This window comes from Homo sapiens, chromosome 15 (assembly GCF_000001405.40).
Source record: "Homo sapiens chromosome 15, GRCh38.p14 Primary Assembly".
Lineage (NCBI taxonomy): Eukaryota > Metazoa > Chordata > Mammalia > Primates > Hominidae > Homo > Homo sapiens.
Window position 1 is genome coordinate 88,896,022 of NC_000015.10, and position 19,158 is coordinate 88,915,179.

The following is a 19,158-nucleotide window of genomic DNA, read 5'->3' on the forward strand; positions in this document are numbered from 1 at the left end:
GAGTTCAAGACCAGCCTGGGCAACATGGTGAAACCCTGTCCCTACTAAAAATACAAAATTAGCTGGGCGTGGTGGAGCATGCCTGTAATCCCAGCTACTTGGGAGGCTGAGGCAGGAGAATTGCTTGAACCCAGGAGGCGGAGGTTGCAGTGAGCTGAGATCATGCCATTGTGCTCCAGCCTGGGCAACAAGAGCAAAACTCCGTCTCAAAAAAAAAAAAAAAAAAAAAGCAAGGGGTTGCTGATGTCCTCATGCCCCTGAGTTTGGCCATCATGAAACACTGGCCAGATTCCCAACTCACTGTCAGGCACATAGCAGGTGCTATCCCCAGCACATGGGGCTTGAATGAGTGGCCCTGGCTGGGAGGGGAGACACAGGGTGGGATACCTCTGCAGCCTGCAGGGGCAATCAGGCTTCTGAGTGGTCCTCCAACAGGGGTGGGCCTCCCTTCGGAATCCTGCTAATCAGCACAGCCATCCAGGCAGCCGCTCAGGATGCCTCTGTTTGGACAGGGTGTTTTCTTTCCTGTCCAGACCAATGGGGGCCCTGGCCTGGACAGCCCGATGTTTCCTCAGCAGAAAAGACTAAGGAGGTCCTTCAGCTTTGGCTGGGGGAAGGGTCGAAGGGTCACAGGGTCACAGAGCTCAGAGCCTCTTCCTAAACACAGCTCAAGTTGGCCCATGAGTGTGTGTGTGTGTGTGCATGTGTGTGTGTTACACACAGCCAGGGGCACATTGGAGCACAAAGAACTGTGATCAACAGGTAAACTACACCTAAAAGGAACGCCAGGCTTGATGGGCAAAGGGGAGCCAAGGTAGGTCCCTCTGCAGGTTCCCGACAGGGGAGAGGATGGACAGTAGGGAGAGCACATTTTGCTACAGTTAAGTCGAGTTGAACATGCCAGCCAGGGGTAGGGGTAGCCAGCAGGTGGAATCTGAACGCTCACCCTCTGCCTTGCAGTGGGGCAGAAAAAAGTCAATGTGTAGGGGTGATGGTAAAAGCTGGGCAAATGGAAGACACTGCTGAGGGAGAGAAGCCAAGGAAGGAAGGAGGGGGTCAGGAGTGAGGGGACTCCACTCCAGGGTCCCAGGAGGGGGACTTTTAGAAGGCTGTGGCCAACCCATCCCAGAGCAGAGATGCTTCTCCCACTGTCTGCTTATCCCCAGGGTATGCTGGAACAGGGGTTCAGGGCAGGAAACTCCCCCGGGAGGGAGACCTGAGGCTTGGAAGCACGCAGAAAGGCTTGGCTCTAAACCCAATCCACACCGCTCCGCAGAAGAGAGCTCTGAAACGGGAGGCAGTAGGCCAAGGGACACCCAGGGGAAGGGAGTCCCCCATCCTCAGTTCCTACGAAGACCACGGCCTGGGCCTTTTATTCAGACCCTGCTAGGCCCAGGAGCCCAGCAACCGCAGGTCTCAGAAAGGAACCACTTCCAGACACATTTCCCTGATGTGGTTCCAGCAAAGCCACGCCCTCCCTTTGGCAGCCCTGTGGCCCCACCTCCTGCTGCTCAGAGGCGGCCCCACCTCCTGCTGCTCAGAGGCGGCCCCACCTCCTGCTGCTCAGATGCACCCCCTGCCTGCAGAACACAGCCGGCTCCCAAAGTTTGGAAAAATTCACCTTGACAAAGAGGGTGGTTTTTCCTACACCCCTTCCCAAGCTAGCCAAGCCTCTGCCTGCAAGTCACCCTTCCAGATCACCAAGACACTGGCCCGCAAGGCCCACCCCCACTTCTTGATGACCCCCACACAGGGGAGGGCAGAGAGGGTATCCCTGGAGCACACACGCCAGTGGCCTACCAGGAACCAGTGTGTTCAGGCAGGAGGCCTCATGCCCACTTGGCAGAGCCCCGGCCCCCTCCTCCAGTCCCACGCTGCACCCACCCCAGGAACTCCCGCAGTTCGGAAGGCATCCAGGTTCACTGAGTTTCTTATAGTTTCTCCAGCCCACCACTCCAGTTGCAGAGAGAATGGAAACTGCTGAAGGGGAAAACCAGCTGCCCCAGCCAGTCTTCCTGGCAGGAAGGGAGCAAAAGCATTCAGGAGACAGTGTCTGCCAGCACTCGCTGGGCCCCTGACCAGGCAGCAGTTGTAGGGCTCAGGGCCAGACGGCATGGAGGTAGAAAGCAGAGGGAAGAGGGGAAGTCAGGTTTTGAGGACCTGGAAGTCCTGACTTCCTTCAGGCCGCCCTGGACCAAAGTCTCCAGCCTCCTGCTATGAAGCTATGTGTAGTCAGGCAGGTGACATAAAGAAAGATGGGGCTGGGCACGGTGGCTCACGCCTGTAATCCCAGCACTTTGGGAGGCCGAGGCAGGTGGATCACAAGGTCAAGAGATTGAGACAATCCTGGCCAACACGGTGAAACCCTGTCTCTACTAAAAATATAAAACTTAGCTGGGCATGGTGGTGTGCACCTATAGTCCCAGCTACTTGGGAGGCTGAGGTAGGAGAAATGCTTGAACCCAGGAGGCAGAGATTGCAATGAGCCGAGATCACACCACTGCACTCCAGCCTGGCGACAGAGCAAGACTCCATCTCAAAAAAAAAAAAAAAAAAGCAAGCAAGCAAGCTGGGGCTCAGGGAGGACCACAGGTGGGGGATGGGGAAACCAGCGCAATTTAAATCCCATTCCCATGAAACAATAACGAACCACACCAAGAGTTCCCGTGAAGAAGATAAATATATTTTGGAAGCTGCCTGTGTCCTCTGGGGTGAAAAGCCAGCATAGAGGGCCCCAAACGCCCACCCTGCCAACCCATGCCCTCCTCTGACCTCGCTCCCTTTCTCCCCATAGACCCGCCCCACCCCCTTCTGTGTCGCTGGGCTTCAGGACAAGGGGCAAGAGAGGCAACCAGGGAGACAAGGGGAAGTGTCTTGGGGACAGGGGGCCACAGCAGTTGTGGCCACATGGTACCCCAGGGCCGACGCAGGGCCGACGGGCAAGAGGCTGTTATCTCCAGCCTGGCGCTTCCGGGCCTTTCTTGAGGCCACCATGGGAATGTGATGTGTGAGAGAGGGGCTAGGAGAGACAGAGACACACGCACCTGGGATCGGCGGTCCGGACAGGGGCAGGGAAACCACACGCCCTACTTTGCCCTTTCCTGTCCATCCCAGACCTACTCAGATCCCTCAGTGCCTAAGAAAACAGGACAGTGAGGACTGGGGGTTAGGGGACGGGGCTTAGGGGCTGGGGCAGGGCCCGTGAGAGGTGGAGGGTGGGAAAGAGGGAGGGAGGGGTGACTGTGTGGTGGTGCTGCCTCTGAACACCCTCCCCTTCCCCAGTCCCCAGCCCTATGGTGATTTAAAGGGGCTGAGAAGCCAAGAGGCAGCGGGCCCATGGAAAGCAGGAAGACCTGGGGGTGGCAGGTGGCCACTAACAGCCCAGCAGCTCCAGGCGCAGGGCGATGCGGTTGTGCCAGGCTACAGGCAGGATGCGCACATAGCGAGCCAGGATGGGCGTCTCAAACAAGTTCTTCTTGTGGGAGTGGTTGTCCCAGTTGCCAGGGAAGATCTAGAGGCAGAGCGGGTGTCAGGAGGACCCCGAGCCAGCCCCCCTCCCCTCAGAGCCCCAGGCCAGACTCCCAGGGAAGTAATGAAGGAATGGCAAAGGGTGGGCAGCTGGACAGACACCCACCTTACTGCTGCCAGTCCTGGGGTCCTGGTACTCAGTCCAGTTCGCACTGTCATTACTGTAGGCAACCTTGTAGGATGCCACAAACTGGACAGAGCCAAAGTTACGGGCCCCCTGGGTGATGATGCCTGTCACCTCCTTCGAGGAGCCCAGGTCCACCTACAGAAGAAACCAACCACATTTTCTCTGCTTGGACCATCTCCAGTAAGGTGAAAAGAGGCAGACACACTGAGGCATGAATTCTAGTTTTGAAAAAAACTACTTGGGTGAGCCTCAGTTTCTTTGGCTATAAAATGGGCATAAGGCCGGACATGGTGTCTCATGCCTATAATCCCAACACTTTGGGAGAGACTTGAGGCAGGTGGATCACCTGAGGTCAGGAGTTCGAGACCAGCCTGACCAACATGGTGAAACCCCGTCTCTACTAAAAATACAAAAAATTAGCTGGGCATGATGGTGGCTGCCTGTAATCCCAGCTACTAGGGAGGCTGAGTCAGAAGAACCGCTTGAACCTGGGAGGCGGAGGTTGCGGTGAGCCGAGATGGCGCCACTGCACTCCAGCCTGGGTGACAGAGCAAGGCTCTGTCTCAGAAAAAAAAAAAAAAAAAGCGGTGAGGGGGCATAAATAATACCACCTACTTTGCCACACATGGTGTTCGGTACCTCACTGCTATAAAGCTCATAGGGTCTGGGCCCTGGCCAACTCCACGCCAACCACCCCTGCCTGAGACCTGCACTGCACTGTGATGGGAAGAAGGACAGGAGAGGCCACAGCCTGGAGGGGCATGAACTGCTCTAGAGGCTCCCTGCGGCGCCGCCCACAGTCTGACACTGGTCCTGAGGGTGTCCACAGGCAGGCAGCTCCTCAGGGAACCCAGCTCCGCAGTGTGCTCCATGGGGCCCTGAGACAGACCTCCTGTCCCCGGTCCCTGACCTCCCTGGAGAACCTGCCAGCTGCACCTGGACACACAGTTCCCCAACATCCAGGTGTAAACCCAACTCACTGCCAGCCAGCAGGTGGGTACTAGGCAGATCATCGTCCTGCCAGCTCTCGGCTTCCTCATCTATAAAACAAGCTCCGGTTTTCCATGGCTCTCTTTTGTTTCCTAGTTTCAATGACAGACAAGGGCTGTCACATGGTGGCTTCTTAGACACTGAGTCAGAGAATATGTATGCTGTGCTCAAGGGAGAGGTCCCAAGATGCCTGGGTCATGTCTCCCTCTTCCGCCTCCGCCCTGCTGTCTGTCCATAGGCTGAGCCTTGTCAATCCTGTGGCAGCCCATGGAATGGCTCTCCCCTTGTGTACACACATACACACACATTCACACACACACATTCACACACACACATTCACACACACACACACATTCTCACACACACATATTCACACACATTCACACATACACATTCACATACACATTCACATACACATTCACACACATTCACAAATACACATTCACACATACACATTCACACACACACATTCACACACACATTCTCACACACACATTCACACACATTCTCACACATTCACACACACATTCACACATTCACACACACACATTCACACATACACATTCACACACACATTCACACGCACGCATTCACACGCACGCATTCACACACACTCACATTCACACACATTCACACACTCACACACACACATTCACACACACACACACATACACACACACACCCTTTCTCCACCTTGGTGGAAGCAGGATCAAGAGAAGGGAGTACAGGTGGGAAGAAGAAAGAAAAGCCGAAGAAAAACAAGGCTTTTCCAGAACTCTTTTGGGGAGCAGAAGAGAAGCCTGGGCTGGAGAGAGGTCAAAGATCTGGCAGTCCCACCTCATCCCACCCAACCCCAGCCCCATATCCCAAGAAGGCTGACCCACCTGCAGCCACTGATCGTTACCGTAGCTCCCCGCAACCCAGGCGTTGAAGTTGCCCTGCTTGTCCAGCCGTGCATAGGAGGGGTTCCAGCTGAAGAGATGCAAGCCCCAGGTCTTGTAGCTGCTGGAGGCCGTGATCTGCTTGTCAGGGATGCTGTTATTCTTCAGGCCCAGGGGATTGGCGCATCCTGCCAGCAAGGTGGGCTGTCATCTGGATCTGGGATCCACAGCTCCCAGGGGCAGGAGCACAAGGCGATGAAGCAGAAAGAACTCTGTGGATCCTGACCAGCCCCTGTCATGCTCTTGGGCAACAGAAAGCAGCTCCATCCGCCTTGCAGGGCCAACTGTGCGACCTTCTCACTGCCGACCCCACCACCTCCTCACCTCAACCAGCCGGGCTCAGCTCCTCACAGATCACCCAAGACCTCCCACTCACCACCCTTCTCCTCTGCACCAGGGAAGGCCCCTGCTCCACCACCTCCTGCCCTCCTTCAATGCCTGACTTTGGAGACACCTCCTCCAAGAAGTCTGCCCTGACTACTTCACTTGGGCAGGATTTCTTCCTCTTCTGGACTCACAGCACTGCCCCCATCGCCTCGGCCTCCCATCCGTCCCATGGCACAGTCACTATCTACTTTAATAACAACCACATTGTTTATTCAGTGCTTACTTCAGTCATTTAACCTGCCACCAAAAAAAAAAAGAAAAAAAAACACTAAATGAAGTAGAAATTAGTAAGCCCATTCTATAGATGAGAAAACTGAAAGACATTAAGCATCATGCTCAAGTCACATACAAACTCCTAATGTCACACTATGACGTCACCTCTACCAGCTACACATCCCAGCTAGATGATGAAGGCCTGCCTAGTGACGACCCAGTGATGAACAGGACAACATCCCTGCCCTCCAGCAGCTGGCAGTTAGAGAAATCAGACAACTCCTGGGGCACAGGAACATCTCTATTTCCATTCCCCAGAAGCCCCCTGACTTAGTGTCTCCCAGAGGGCCTTCGCACACTCAAATGTTCTGGGGATGCTGTCACACAGGCCTGTGAGGGCTGGCCCGGGAAGCTGGCCTTTGTTTCACTCAGCCCTGCCCCAAACACTCAGGAATGTGCCGGGCTGCCTTGCACTTGTATCTGCACCTGCATATGGATAGAACAGTTGGGGATGGGCAAGAGATACAACTCCCAAGAGAATGATGGGGGTGTCTCCCACCTGGAAGAATCCTCACTCCACAAGTGTCTATCCCTCTGGGGAATTGAGGGAGGCAGGAGTGGACGGTGGGACTGGAGAGCCCCCTGCCCTCTGGGAGCCAGCTAAGTTATATCACTGCCCTCCAATACTCTCACCACTCAAGAGTACTGGGAGCCAGCTAAGTTATATCACTGCCCACCTGTACTCTCACCACTCAAGACATTTGCCTCCAGGGTGTGTTGACAATGCCTGCTGATGGTACCATCATCTCCTGATGGTGATGCACCAGGGAACCACCACCTTCCCCCTCAAAGAGAGGCTCCCGGGCTGAGAGCTGGTTGTCCCTTGGCCCCAGAAGAGGAGAGGCCTGAGGCAGGCTAAAACCTGGGCAGCTTTGCAGAGGACACCAATTCTGCACAATGTGCTCAACGCAGACCCCTCTACAGATCATCTGCTTCTAGTGGTTCATACCCTCCTCACTCTCAGCCTCCCCAGGAAGTCAGACAGCCTTTCTGGTAAAATGCAGTTGGAAGGGGCACCAGGGCAGGGACAGGACTGTCAGCTCCAGCACTCTAGGAAGTCCCTTCCTCTCTCTGGCTCTCAGTCTCCCCATCTATAAAATGAGATACTAGGGGAGTAATTCTCACAGATCACCTGGGGATCTTGATATAAAAAAAAAAAGCTTATGTTTCAGCAAGTCTAGGCTGGGGCTTTCAGTCTGTATTTCTTTTTTTTTGTTTTTTTGTTTGTTTGTTTGAGACACAGTCTCGCTCTGTCACCCAGGCTGGAGTGCAGTGGCATGATCTCGGCTCACTGCAACCTCCACCTTCTGACCGGGTTCAGGCAATTATCCTGCCTCAGCCTCCCTAGTAGCTGGGATTACAGGCACCTGCCACCACGCCTGGCTAATTTTTGTATTTTTTTAGTAGAGACGGGGCTTCGCCATGTTGGCCAAGCTGGTCTTGATCTCCTGACCTCAGGTGATCCGCTCGCCTCGGCCTCCCAAAGTGCTGGGATTACAGGCGTGAGCCACCGCACCCGGCCTCAGTCTGCATTTCTAAGAAGCTCCTAGGTGATGACACTGCGGGTCCCTGGGGCTCTTCACCCACCAAGCTGCCCCTCCATCTCTTGGCTCCAGCTCCACTGGCCTTCCTTCCACCCTTCAACATGCCCCAGGGCCTTTGCATTTACCAATTCCTTGCCTGCAGTGCTCTTTTTGCAGTGCTGTTTTTAAGTTTTTCATGTGGCTGGCTCTCCATCATTCAGGCCCCCAGTCAAAGGCCTTCCCGACAGAGCAGTCCTTGTCTTGCTCTCTCCCCTCACCCCAAGTCATGGTCATCTCATCAGCCTCTAGCTTTTCTTCAGAGCTGTTACTGCTCTCTGTCATCTGCTCCTCGCCTCAAGTCTGCCTTCCTTGCTACAATGCAAATTACATGAGGTCAAGGAATCATTCCCTAGAGCCAAGCACCCAGGAGGGGCTTAATCAATATCTTAATAAACATCCATCGAATTAAATAATTAATTTACCAAAGACACCATATGTCTGCAAAGAGGAATCCCTTGTGGAATCCCAGGTACCCCCAGACCTCAGCCCCACCCACACACATGCACACGTGCACACATGCACACATGCACCAACACTCTCCAGCCGACTGGAAGGCCTATAGGGAAAGGAGTGGTCCAGACCCTGAAGGAAGCAGACAGGGTACCTGGGCTTCCTTGGTTTGCAAGACTCACCCTCTCTTGGCCCTGAGCAGGGGCCAGTCATGCCTGGATACAGGCAACTTTAATGGCCAAAGGCTTCAAGCCAAAACAGCAAGTGTCAGGGACTCCAGGGAGAGGCACACAGACCTGGCTCTGTCCTTTCCCAGTAGCCTACATTTCCTTCTAGCAGAAGGCAAAGTCTTATACTCCCCACTGAAACAATACGGCTCAAAAGGGCCCCTGGTGGAGGAAGCATACCTACTCAAGTTCATACTAAAAACACTGAACCCAGCCAGGCACTGAACTCAGCTCTGAGGGGTATTTGGGTGGTGTCTGAAATGAGACAACAGGAAGAGGTGTCACAGAGGGGAAAGGCGGGGCACAGGAGGGCAGGTAAGATCAAAAGGCCAGCGGGTAAGATAAGAACCTCCACTCTGCAGCTCTGCTTAGCGAGCCCTACAGTTCCACTGATGGCCAGCAGGTGGCATTGTGGCTGCAAAGAGAGAGAAATACCCAGACCTCAGGAAAGCTGGGTTGAGCTGGGCTGAGACAATTAATGTCTGTCAGCCCAAACCCGGCACTCTGACCTCGCCCAGGCTGTCCCCTGGCTCTGCAGAAATCTGTCCCTTTATGGTCTCCCCAGCTCTTCATCTGGGAATCTCTTTGGAAAAGGCAGCAGGAAGCACCAGCTCCAAGCCCTGTGGTCCAAGAAGCCCCTGTGTTTCTCTGGAGTGCAGACTCTTAAGAGTTTGGCAGGGAAAGCTCTGGATGGGTGTGGTCGGGAGCCCAGAGATCTAGACCAAGTCTTAATACCTACCAGATGTGTACCCTTAATAAATCATTCATCGGGGCCCCACGCCCCTCATTCATTCATTCGCTCATTCATCAAATATTTATTGAGTACCTATAAACCAGACACCATTCTAGGCCCTGGGAATACCGAAGCAAACAAAACAGACAGATTCTCTGCCCTCGTAAAGCTGACATCTGCCAAACACACCTAACGCTACATGTTCTAGAAGCTACAGGAGAGGAGCCAACCAGAAGAAGGGAAAATACTTTGAAAACTGATGTCTTTTTCTCTATCAATCAGAATGCCCTGGGTCATGGGTTGGCAGACAGCAAACACCTGGGTGGGGCTGCTATGGCCAGGTGACCCCCTAGAGTGCGTTGCCCGAGTGAAGCCTGGTCCCCGTGCCTTGTTGCTGCCCTACCTAGCTCAGTTTGGCTGAGAAAAGAGGCAGCAGGGAGGGCCACCTCCTAGGATTGGCCAACAGTGCCCCCCTACCCGCACCCCCAGCACTCACCGTTCAGCTCACAGCCCAGTAGCTCAAAGCGCAGAGTGCAGGCCGTGTGGCAGCTCGTGGGGTACAATCTCACGTACTGAGCCTCCACAGGGGTCTCAAACAGGTTGACATGCACCGCGTTTTTGTTCCAGTTACCCACAAACTCCTAGCAGGGAAGGGACAAGACTGGAGAAGGGGGTCCATCTGAGCAGTCCCCCTCCCTGGGGTTACCTCATCTTCCTCTTCAGACCTGGGAGGCAGAGGTGGGGCTGGGAGGGTGAAGAGGACTTGGAAGAGCCAGCAGAGGCTCACACAGCAGCCTCTCCTTTGGCCACCCCACGGCCCTCCACAAAGATTCTCCTCTCACTTTCCTTAATCATCATGGAGCCTGGGCATAAACCCCTATAGCTGACACAGGGCCACCTGTAACCTACAGGGTACCTCTTTGCAAATTAGGAAAAGGCACTCCTTTCTCAAATAGTTTATTATGACAATTTTCTGACAGAGTTCCACAAATGTACAATGCCTGTACTGTGAATGGTGCCTGCTTAGCAATGACATCCTTGAGCAGTGTACAACCTACACAACTGTACATGTACCCATGAAGGCTCAGAATGAAACCCAGCTCCACCACCACTATCACCCTCAACAGGTCACTGTGCCATTTTGAATCTCACTAGTCTCATCTCTAAAGTGGGACTATTGCTTATAAACCACAGAACATGGACACAGTCTGGGTTTCCCAATTTCTAGAAGCCAAGATGCACCCGAAGACCCACATCATAGCCAATCACCTAGGGTTCTCTGGACTCGCTGGGGGTCCTCAGTCAATGCTAGAACCTTAGGGGGTATGGACCACAGCCCTTCTTTCGGGCCCCAACAAGACCTACCTTGTGTTTTTTATTAACATCATGGATGAAATCGAATTCGTGTCCATTAAGGCTGTAGGCCACCTTGAAGGCCTTCAGGTACTCATGACTGGCCAAGCGGCTGGCACCCTGCGTCACCACACCTGTTACCCACATCCTCCGCAGCAGGTTCACCTGGACACAGGGCAGGGGAGATGGCACCCTTATCTCCTGGGTTCTTTCCACTCAAGATCCAAGCAGACCCATCCCTTCACTCCCCCACTGGGTGGGGGAACAACTCAAGCAAAACAGAGGAGGGGTAGCTGAGCACACTGCCCGCACAAAGGGCTTTCTTCTTCTGCCCAGGCCTCCAGAGGCCTCATCCAGCACCAACAGCTCCTCCACAGCCTGGGGCCTCCTCCCCCCTCACCTTGACCCCATACCAGGTTCCTCCAGGGATGCCATCCACTTACAGATACTTCATCCATGGGAACCTGTTACCTTGCCACCTGAACCCCAGTGATGAACCCTCCTGGGGTAACCCCCAAATGCAGAAACATTCATCGAGCCTTCTCTCCATTGCCCCGCCCCAGGGCCATCCCCAGGCATACCTGGATCCAGGGGTTATCGTCATTGCTGCTGGGTGTCCAGGCATTGACCATGCCTGCGCGGTTCAGGCGGGCCAGCTCCGGGACCCAATGCTGCAAACCCAAGAAGGTCACACGCACAGACGAGGCGGCGATCTGTGAGTTGGCAATGTTCCCATTCTCCAGGCCCAGTGGCTCGACACATTCTGAGGGAAGGGAGGTGGCAGTCAGGTGGCTACCCCAGCAGGTTCCCGGGCCCAGCTGGGACCCAGCGGACAAGAAAATAAGACTGTATGACCTCTGCCTAAGCCCCAGGGCCAGGGAGAACCTCAGAGCCTCTCTCAGAACAAAGACCACAAAGGGACAATGAAGGCAGTGCCCAGGACGAGGTGCCAAGAAAAGGTATGTGGCCAGGGGTGGTGAGGATGAGGGGGGTGGGCAGAGTCACGGGAGGCTGGGACCCAGGGCTGCCAGAGGATCCCAGCCAGGGTAGCACTGTGGGGACAGCCATGATTGGCACTCATGGAAAGTAGAGTCCCCCCCGCCAGGCTGTGGGAGGTGGCCTCGTTCATATAGGGCATCTGGCAGCAATCAGTCTGGTGCAGGGGTTAGACTGGTGGCACAGAATACCGGTGTGACCCCCTCTTCCTCAGTGTCCCCTCCCCCCACCAGGAAGGGACGCCATCCTCAGCCCAGCCCCTGGCTTCCTCAGGAGGGTGGCTTTGGGAGAAGGGCTACCTCGGATAGCAGTGAACAGTACCAGCACTGTACACAAAGAAAGAAGCTAATCTGCCTGGAGTTTTCTAGAATCCCACTGGCAGGAGTTCTCTGGGTGGGGCACAAATGCCATTCTGCTTTCCCTCTTTACGCCTTCCACCTGTGGGCCCTCACCCAGCCATCTGTGAACATGCCCGTGGCCAAGGCCCCACCCCCCTCACCATCACTCCAGCAGTGTGGTCCCAGGAACCCAGGACAGCTACCAGGCCCACCTACAGGCCAAGCTTCTCTCATCACCTGGGGATCCCCCCAGCGTGTGCCTGGGCCTTCCAGCTGCCAAGCAGAGAACCCACAGACAGATCTAGTCTTCCTCCAACATCACAGGCGCGGACGAGCTCAGTGTTAGCGCACTCTGGCAGGGAGGGGAACGCGCAAAGTGAGGCCAGAGCCTCAAGACCAGAGCTCGGCCAGTGGCTGAGCTGAGATTTGACCCCAGTCTGCCTCCAAGACTATCCCCATACCCCACCACGCTCACACCCTGAAGGAGTCCAGTGTGCATTCTTTGGGCCCGCAGGGTCCTTGTTGGCTCCAAGGAAACATACCACGTAAAAGGCAAGGAAGAGCTGCGAAGGTCCCTCTGAGGGCTTCCTCCGCTGTGTGGTCACCCCTGCCTTCTTCCTGGGTGCAGCCATATCCAGCCTGGGGAAGATCCCAGGCCCAGAAGCTAGAAGTCAAGGTGGGTAATTCCCACTCAGGCACACTCACTGTTACCTCAGCTCCCAGGATACTTGTTAGTGGCTCCACCTGGCCCTACCCAGGGCTCTGATTGCCTTAGCAACCCGTCCGCCAAACCATACACACACCCTTCCACCAGGATCTCAAACACATCTGGCCTCAGGGCAGGGTCCAAGGCACAGGCCCCAGGGCCACTTGGGAGGTAAAAGGCATCCTACTCACTTGACCTGCTCTCTCCCAGGGCCCCTGCTGCCACCCAGCTGGCTCAAGCCCCCCGCCCCCTCCTTCTGGAGGCCAGCAAACCTCAGAACCCATCCCCACATCTCCCTGAGGAGGGCAAGATGTCCCCTGTCCCCTACCCAAGATGCTCAGCGATTGACCTGCTGGATTCAGAAACCTAGGACCCCCCGCTCCACCCATCCCTGGGCCCACATGTGGGCAACCCGCCTGCCCCATGAGGAGTCCTAGTGGGGTGGGAGCACTAAGTGGGAGGGACTCCAGCTGGGCCTGGAGGGAGGACAGCAGGGGAACTGCTGTTGCCACCCCACCTAGGGCCATTCTGTGGCCGAGTGGATAACCAGGCAGGTCACACGCGGACAGCCCCTCTGGGCATGCAAGGCCTCTGACCACCTGACCGCGTGGGGATGGTTCAGCTGGCCCAGGCCTCTCCCTTCTCCCCGAGCTCTGCGATGAGGCTGCAGGTCAAACTTGGGCCAGGAACTGTCAGACTCTGAAACCAAGGCTGATTTACTGAGTTCCTGGGCCTCAAAAGACCAAGAATGTGTTTGTTTTCCCCTCTTAGGTAGAAAAATCCTTGCAACTTAACCCTAATGCTGTGTGTCTGGCTCATGGTGACTCAAGAAACAGCACTCCCGTGACCTCCAGGGTGACCACAACCCCTCACTCCTCTGCATCAGCATCAGGCCTGGCCGGCAGTCTCAGGAAAGAGGGCCAGGCAGAAAGAAGGAAGAAACAACAGGACCCTTTTCCCCCCTCGGTCTAACTGAGGCTCTGTCTCTCTCTCTGAGTCTCCCCAGAGGAGGCCTTGACACCTCCACTGGGGTGGGGATCACAGGCAGAGAATAAGGCCAGCATATGGCCTATGCCACCAGGGCTGTGGCTCAGGGTCTACTGCTAGAAACAGGCAACAAGCACCCCCACATACTCACTCGTCTCACAGTGGTTGCCCGCGTAGCCCTTAAGGCACGTGCAGGTGTACGAGGGGAAGACATCTCCTCGCACTTCTTGGGAAATCTCCTCGCATAAACCACCGTTGTGGCAGGGGTTTTTGGAACAGATATCTGGGGACAGAGACAGGTAAGATGAGCAGATGATCAGGAAGGAGCTGGGGACACAGGTGAGAAGTAGCAGATGGGTCCAGCCCAAAAGGACCCTCCACTCAAACTCGCCCATTATCTCTTCCTCTCCCTCTTCCCCCGTGTGCTGGATGGAGCCTGAGTCCGCCTAGAGCCAAGGAAGTCCATGTGTAGGCGAATCGGCCCACATAAGGGAAGCGCCCAGCTTTCCAAGTGGCCTGGGAGTGTCCAGAAAAGTGCTGGCTGACAATGGCAGTGGTGCTGGGGACCACTGCCCACTGGTGGAAGAGCTGGCAGCTGGGGTCTGGAGAGGCAGGCAAGGTCCAGGGCAGGTCTCTTGGCAGCAGTTTGATTGCAAAGGAGGCCCATGAGGACTTTCAGGCAGGGGCAGTGGAAGGAAGCATTGTTCTGGCCCATTGAGCAGGTTCCGCCCACCAATTCAGGCACAGGTTGCAGTCACAGATGTCACCTCCAATGGCAGCCCTGACTCAGGAACAGCACGATGATCATCCAGGAAACACTGGGAGGGCCAATGACCATGCTAGGCCCCCGAGACAGAGAAATCAGATGCAGCGCAGGCCTCAAGAAGCCAAGGGGAAAGAGGCCAGCAAGTCCACAGATGAGGAAGATTGCCCAACGCTCCAGAAGCCTGCATGGACCGTCACTGGAGGCATGATTTCTGCTGGGGAATTAGAAGTTCCCCAGAGGAGGGAATATTTGAGCTGGGTCTAGAAGACAAAGTAAGGGGGGTGCCAGACTGGGCAATGAGTAAAGAATGTTCCAAGAAAAGCAGATGCACAGAGGGTGTGGTATGTTGGAGCACAGTTAGATGCAGCTGGAAGGGTAGGCTGGGGCCAGACTGGGAGGGATCTGAAGAATGACAAGTTTAGTTTTTCATCCCGTAGAGCAGTGGCTTTTAACCTTCCTTCACCCTCCTCACCATTGTCCACCAGGGGGGAGAAAAAATAAAAATAAAATAAAAAACAAGAAACAAGAAACAGAGATTCTCAAGTGTGAGATGGGAGTGGGAAAGTCAGTTCCAATTGCGGGATGAAGAAGGCTGAAAAGGCCCATGTGCAGACATGCCGCTGAGCTCTCCCAGGGTGGGGAGCATCTGGTAGCTGCAGACAGGTCCCTCTGGCTGAAATGCAGAAATCCCACTGAAGAGGGTGAAGGTGGAGAGCAGGAGAGCATGGTGAGAGAGGAAGTCAGGGCAGAGGAGTGAAAAGGAAGGGTGATTTCAGAACCACCAGGGGGCAAGGGCTGGAGAGGCCACCAGGGCTTCTGGATGGGAACCTGGATGACAGATGTACACTATCAGCCCCGGTGGTGGAGAACACAGGAGAAGGAACAGGAGGGCCTGTCCTCAATCCCTTGACTCTGGTGGGTCGGCCGGGCCCAACAGGAGTCCTCTAGCCGACATTAGCATCCCAGAAGGGCTGCCCCAGACCCTACACCCAAATCTGTCATTTGGAGCAAGACATGAGACATCTTTTTGCCTTGGCCGGGCATGGTGGCTCACACCTGTAATCCCAGCACTTTGGGAGGCCGAGGTGGGAGGATCATGAGGTCAGGAGATCCAGATCATCCTGGCTAACACGGTGAAACCCCGTCTCTACTAAAAATACAAAAAATTAGCCGGGCCGGGCGTGGTGGCAGGTGCCTGTAGTCCCAGCTACTTGGGAGGCTGAGGAAAGAGAATGGCATGAACCCAGCGGGCGAAGCTTGTAGTGAGCCAAGACCGCGCCACTGCACTCCAGCCTGGGCGACACAGCAAGATTCCATCTCAAAAAGAAAAAAGAAAAAAAAAAAAACCTTTTTGCCTCCCCCTCAGAGTCACCCATCTAAGGCTGGAGAGTCCTCCTGAAATCTCAAAGCCCCTTCATCCCACTCCAGGGAAGGCAACAACACCATTAATGAGCGATCTGCCCTCAGAGCTCCCCCTCCAGGGGCCTCAGGAGCTTAAAGTGGCTCCCAAGGAGCTATTAGTCATTGGCTTTAAATAGCAGGTAATCCTTCCTCTGACCTGGCAGGCGGGGGCGAGCATTGACACAGACAGAGGCTTGGGTTGGGAATGGACTCTTCCCTCCCAACTGCACCGGCCCTCTCCCTACACTGCTCCAGGGCAAAACGGTCCAGTGGGAAAAAGGGAAAGGGAAAGGTGTACTCTACCCAGCCACGTTACCTGTGTGTAAGATAGGTATGGTGTTTCCTCCTTCTGGAAAAGGCCACATCACCCTGTATAAAAACATCTTTGGGACTTCAGAGTCCTGCTCTTTCGGGGACTTTCCAGTAACATTTGGCCAGAGTTCAGGTTGGGGGGTACAGGGAAGAGTAGAAAGGGGCTAAGAAGATCCAGCTGTCTTTCATGGTGGCCGGGGAGGGCCAGGAGCTCCCAAGTTCCTGGGAGCTTGGAGCACTCTGGAAGCTCTAGCCCCGAGGGTCAGGCAGATCACAGGACATAGGGCTGGGGCTCAGCTGTTACCTACCTTGCTTCAGTCAATCCCATTTCTATGAGAAAATGATGGAGGGGCCACCTAAAGAGTCCTGGCCCTGACTCCCTCCCAGCGCTCCACGGTGAATGGCACGGGGCATCCGCAAGTCCAGCCTGCAAGGGGCCCAGCTGGCCTCCGGAGGCCTCCTGGGAGGCGGAGGAGGACCGGGGAAGATACAGCAGCCGGCCAAGGCCGCGGGAGGGAGGGAGTCAGGAGACTCCCATCAGCAGGCAGCCCTCTTCCAAGCTCCTCGAAGCCTCTGGGTCCCCTCCCGGGCCCCACTTACGGCCTGCGTCCATTGCACCGACTCCCCGGCCCTTCCCTTATGTGACCAGGCACGGACAATTGGGAGCGCAAAAATCCAATGAACTGTCCAGCCAACTGGAGTTGGCAGGGAGATGGCCAGGACAAAGTTATCCAGACAAGACTTATCCATACTAGAGTCCTAGAATCTCCCAGGTGGAAGGGGTTCGAAAGTCAAACGCAGTTCCCTGGCCTCATTTTTCACCAGGGAAAAGAGAGGCCCGACACAGCGGATTCCTTTGTCATTATCTGTAAGCCGCATCCCTGGGGGCGGCAGGGCTGTCACCCGATGTCCCGAGTCCCAGCCCAAAAGCCCCAGCGCAGAGACAGCAGGGCCGCATCCCCCTGTCCCGCCAGGGCGCAGCGGAAGAAGCCGCCCCTCTGCCCAGCCCGGTCCCCGGGGCTTTGTCTAAGTTTGTCAACAGTGGAGGTGGAGGGCGGGCGCCGGGCAAACTTCCGAGCGGCGCGGGGAGGAGGGGCGAGGGGCAGAGGGCGGCGCGATCCACTCACCCAGGGCGACGAGGAGGCTGGGGGCGCAGAGCAGCGCGCCGCACAGCGCGGCCAGCAGGCGGGGGCGCGGCATGCTGCGGGGACGCGGGCGCTGGAATGGGCACGCTGGGCTGCTCAGACCCCGCGGGGTTCTGGCGCCTTCTCCTCTGGGACCGGAATAAATCAGGCGGCTCAGCACCTCCCACTGGCCGTGCGCTCCGCCCAAGCTGGCCAGAGGCGGACTGGGGGCGGGGCTCCGCGGCTGGGAGGGAATTGGTTGAAAGGAATTGGGGGGCGCGGGGGTGGTCCGCGATATCTGCCTCTTCCGCCACTGCCACACCGGCGTCCCGCGTCGTGCCAACGGCCGGGTCACGAGTCTTGAGTCTGTTGGGCGGGAAAAGTTCAGGAGTTTTGTTTTTAAGATTTTTAGACTTGAAAAGATGCTAACTCTTTATTCATAATCAGATAGATGCAAATTAAAACTACAATGAGCATCGTGTTTCCCTTCTCGGATCGGCAAGTATCAAGATGTTAACAAGGTTAGTGGAGGCTGTGGGGAACAGGTCCAAGCATGCTTCGCTGAAGACAGTATAAATTAGTTCAACTTCCCTAGAGGGCTATTTGGTAACACCTATCAAAACGACAAATGCTGACACCTTAAGACCTAGCATTTCCACATAGAGAGATTCATTCTACAGAAACTCCCATGTGCAAAATGACAGATATACAAAGATAGCATAGCAACATTGTCTGAAATGGTAAAATACTAAAAAAAAAAAATCAGCGAAGGTTTCTGTAAAGGGCCTAATAGAAAATGTTCTCTGATATGTAGGCCCTGAGTCTCTGTAGCAGCTATTCATCTCTGCCTTTGTTGCAAGAAAGGCACCATAGACAAAATGCGAGGAAATGGGCACCTGTTTGCCGAAAGGGAATAAAACAAAGCAAGCCTGTCACCGTTGACTTTTTACTAAATGATTTGTACTTATCATGTGCAAATATTACCTGTTTACAAATAAGTGATTTTAATAATAGTGTTTTGGCTGGGTGCGGTGGCTCACACCTGTAATCCCAGCACTTTGGGAGGCCGAGGCACGTGGAACACCTGAGGTCGGAGTTCAAGACCAGCCTGGCCAAGATGGTGAAACCCCGTCTCTACTAAAAATACAAAAATTAGCCGGGCGCAGTGGCAGGTGCCTGTAATCCCAGCTACTCGGGAGGCTGAGGCAGGAGAATCGCTTGAACCCAGGCGGCAGAGGTCCCAGTGAGCCGAGATCATGCCACTGCACTCCAGCCTGGGTGACACAGTGAGACTCTGTCTCTAATAATAATAATAATAATAATAATAATAATAATAATAATAATGCTTCAGGCTGGGAGTGGTGACTCAAGCCTGTAATGCCAGCTCTTGGGGAGGCCGAGGTAGGCATATCACTTAAGCTCAAGAGTTCGAGACCTTCCTGGGCAACATGGCAAAACCCTGTTTCTACAAAAAAAGAAATACAAAAATATTCCAGGCGCATGCCTGTAGTCCCAGCTACTCAGGAGGCTGAGGTGGGAAGATCGCTTGATCCCAAGAGGTCGAGGCTGCAGTGAGCCACGATTGCACCACTGCACTCCAGCCTGGGCAACAGAGCGAGACTGTCTCAAAAAATAATAACAATACTAATACTAATAAGTATTTAAGTCAGACTAGCCAACAAACAAAATAGAACAGTCACACATCTCCCCTCCTAGCTGTGTTGAGACCTAAGTTGGGACTAGAGTCCACTGGCAAGATGCCCTTCTTAAAATATTCAGAAGCGGGTACTGGGCGTGGTGGCTCATGCCTGTAATCCCAACATTTTAGGAGGCCGAGGCAGGCGGATCACGAGGTCAGGAGATCGAGACCATCCTGGCTAACACAGTGAAACCTCGTCTCTACTAAAAATACAAAAAAAAAATTAGCCGAGCGTGA

The 19,158-nt window shown here is 54.9% G+C and overlaps 1 protein-coding gene across 10 annotated transcripts, besides 5 other annotated features; it reads right to left on the reverse strand.

The window, feature by feature from the left end:
• Positions 1,357-1,651: an enhancer, noted in NCBI's record as "tiled region #11373; K562 Activating DNase unmatched - State 5:Enh". NCBI's record gives its function as "activates a minimal TATA promoter and a strong SV40 promoter by Sharpr-MPRA in K562 cells {active_cell/tissue: K562}" and the evidence as "EXISTENCE:reporter gene assay evidence [ECO:0000049][PMID:27701403]".
• Positions 1,588-1,637: an enhancer, noted in NCBI's record as "active region_10036". NCBI's record gives its function as "activates an Ori minimal core promoter by ATAC-STARR-seq in GM12878 lymphoblastoid cells {active_cell/tissue: GM12878}" and the evidence as "EXISTENCE:reporter gene assay evidence [ECO:0000049][PMID:35858748]".
• MFGE8 (milk fat globule EGF and factor V/VIII domain containing) lies at positions 2,662-17,358 on the reverse strand. Of its 10 annotated transcripts, none has more exons than NM_001310320.2 (9): positions 17,226-17,358; positions 16,103-16,155; positions 13,771-13,902; positions 11,174-11,355; positions 10,605-10,757; positions 9,736-9,880; positions 5,530-5,714; positions 3,635-3,790; positions 2,662-3,511 (listed from the first exon to the last, which is right to left on the reverse strand). In NM_001310320.2, exons 2-9 carry the CDS (start codon positions 16,149-16,151, stop codon positions 3,374-3,376), a joined length of 1,140 nt encoding a protein of 379 aa, NP_001297249.1. In that variant the 5' UTR covers positions 16,152-16,155; positions 17,226-17,358; the 3' UTR covers positions 2,662-3,373. The 10 variants fall into 10 exon arrangements, 9 of the variants coding, with proteins under 9 accessions (NP_001297249.1, XP_047288489.1, NP_005919.2 ...); XM_047432533.1 differs by lacking the exon at positions 17,226-17,358 and adding an exon at positions 16,407-17,147; NM_005928.4 differs by lacking the exon at positions 16,103-16,155.
• Positions 8,824-9,013: a silencer, noted in NCBI's record as "silent region_6792". NCBI's record gives its function as "represses an Ori minimal core promoter by ATAC-STARR-seq in GM12878 lymphoblastoid cells {active_cell/tissue: GM12878}" and the evidence as "EXISTENCE:reporter gene assay evidence [ECO:0000049][PMID:35858748]".
• Positions 10,875-11,860: an enhancer, noted in NCBI's record as "H3K4me1 hESC enhancer chr15:89450127-89451112 (GRCh37/hg19 assembly coordinates)". NCBI's record gives its function as "activates a minimal SCP1, AML or CMV promoter by ChIP-STARR-seq in primed H9 embryonic stem cells {active_cell/tissue: H9 hESC(primed)}" and the evidence as "EXISTENCE:reporter gene assay evidence [ECO:0000049][PMID:30033119]".
• Positions 16,568-17,099: an enhancer, noted in NCBI's record as "H3K27ac-H3K4me1 hESC enhancer chr15:89455820-89456351 (GRCh37/hg19 assembly coordinates)". NCBI's record gives its function as "activates a minimal SCP1, AML or CMV promoter by ChIP-STARR-seq in naive H9 embryonic stem cells {active_cell/tissue: H9 hESC(naive)}" and the evidence as "EXISTENCE:reporter gene assay evidence [ECO:0000049][PMID:30033119]".
• Positions 17,359-19,158: the final 1,800 nt, after the last annotated feature.

Excerpts from the sequence above, each read along its gene's own strand:
- MFGE8 (NM_005928.4), bottom strand. The coding sequence starts at position 17,298 with ATGCCGCGCCCCCGCCTGCTGGCCGCGCTGTGCGGCGCGCTGCTCTGC. Across the intron at positions 10,758-11,173 it reads ACGATAACCCCTGGATCCAG|GTGAACCTGCTGCGGAGGAT; the intron begins GTATGCCTGGGG and ends CCCTGTGTCCAG. Across the intron at positions 9,881-10,604 it reads ATGTTAATAAAAAACACAAG|GAGTTTGTGGGTAACTGGAA; the intron begins GTAGGTCTTGTT and ends CTTCCCTGCTAG.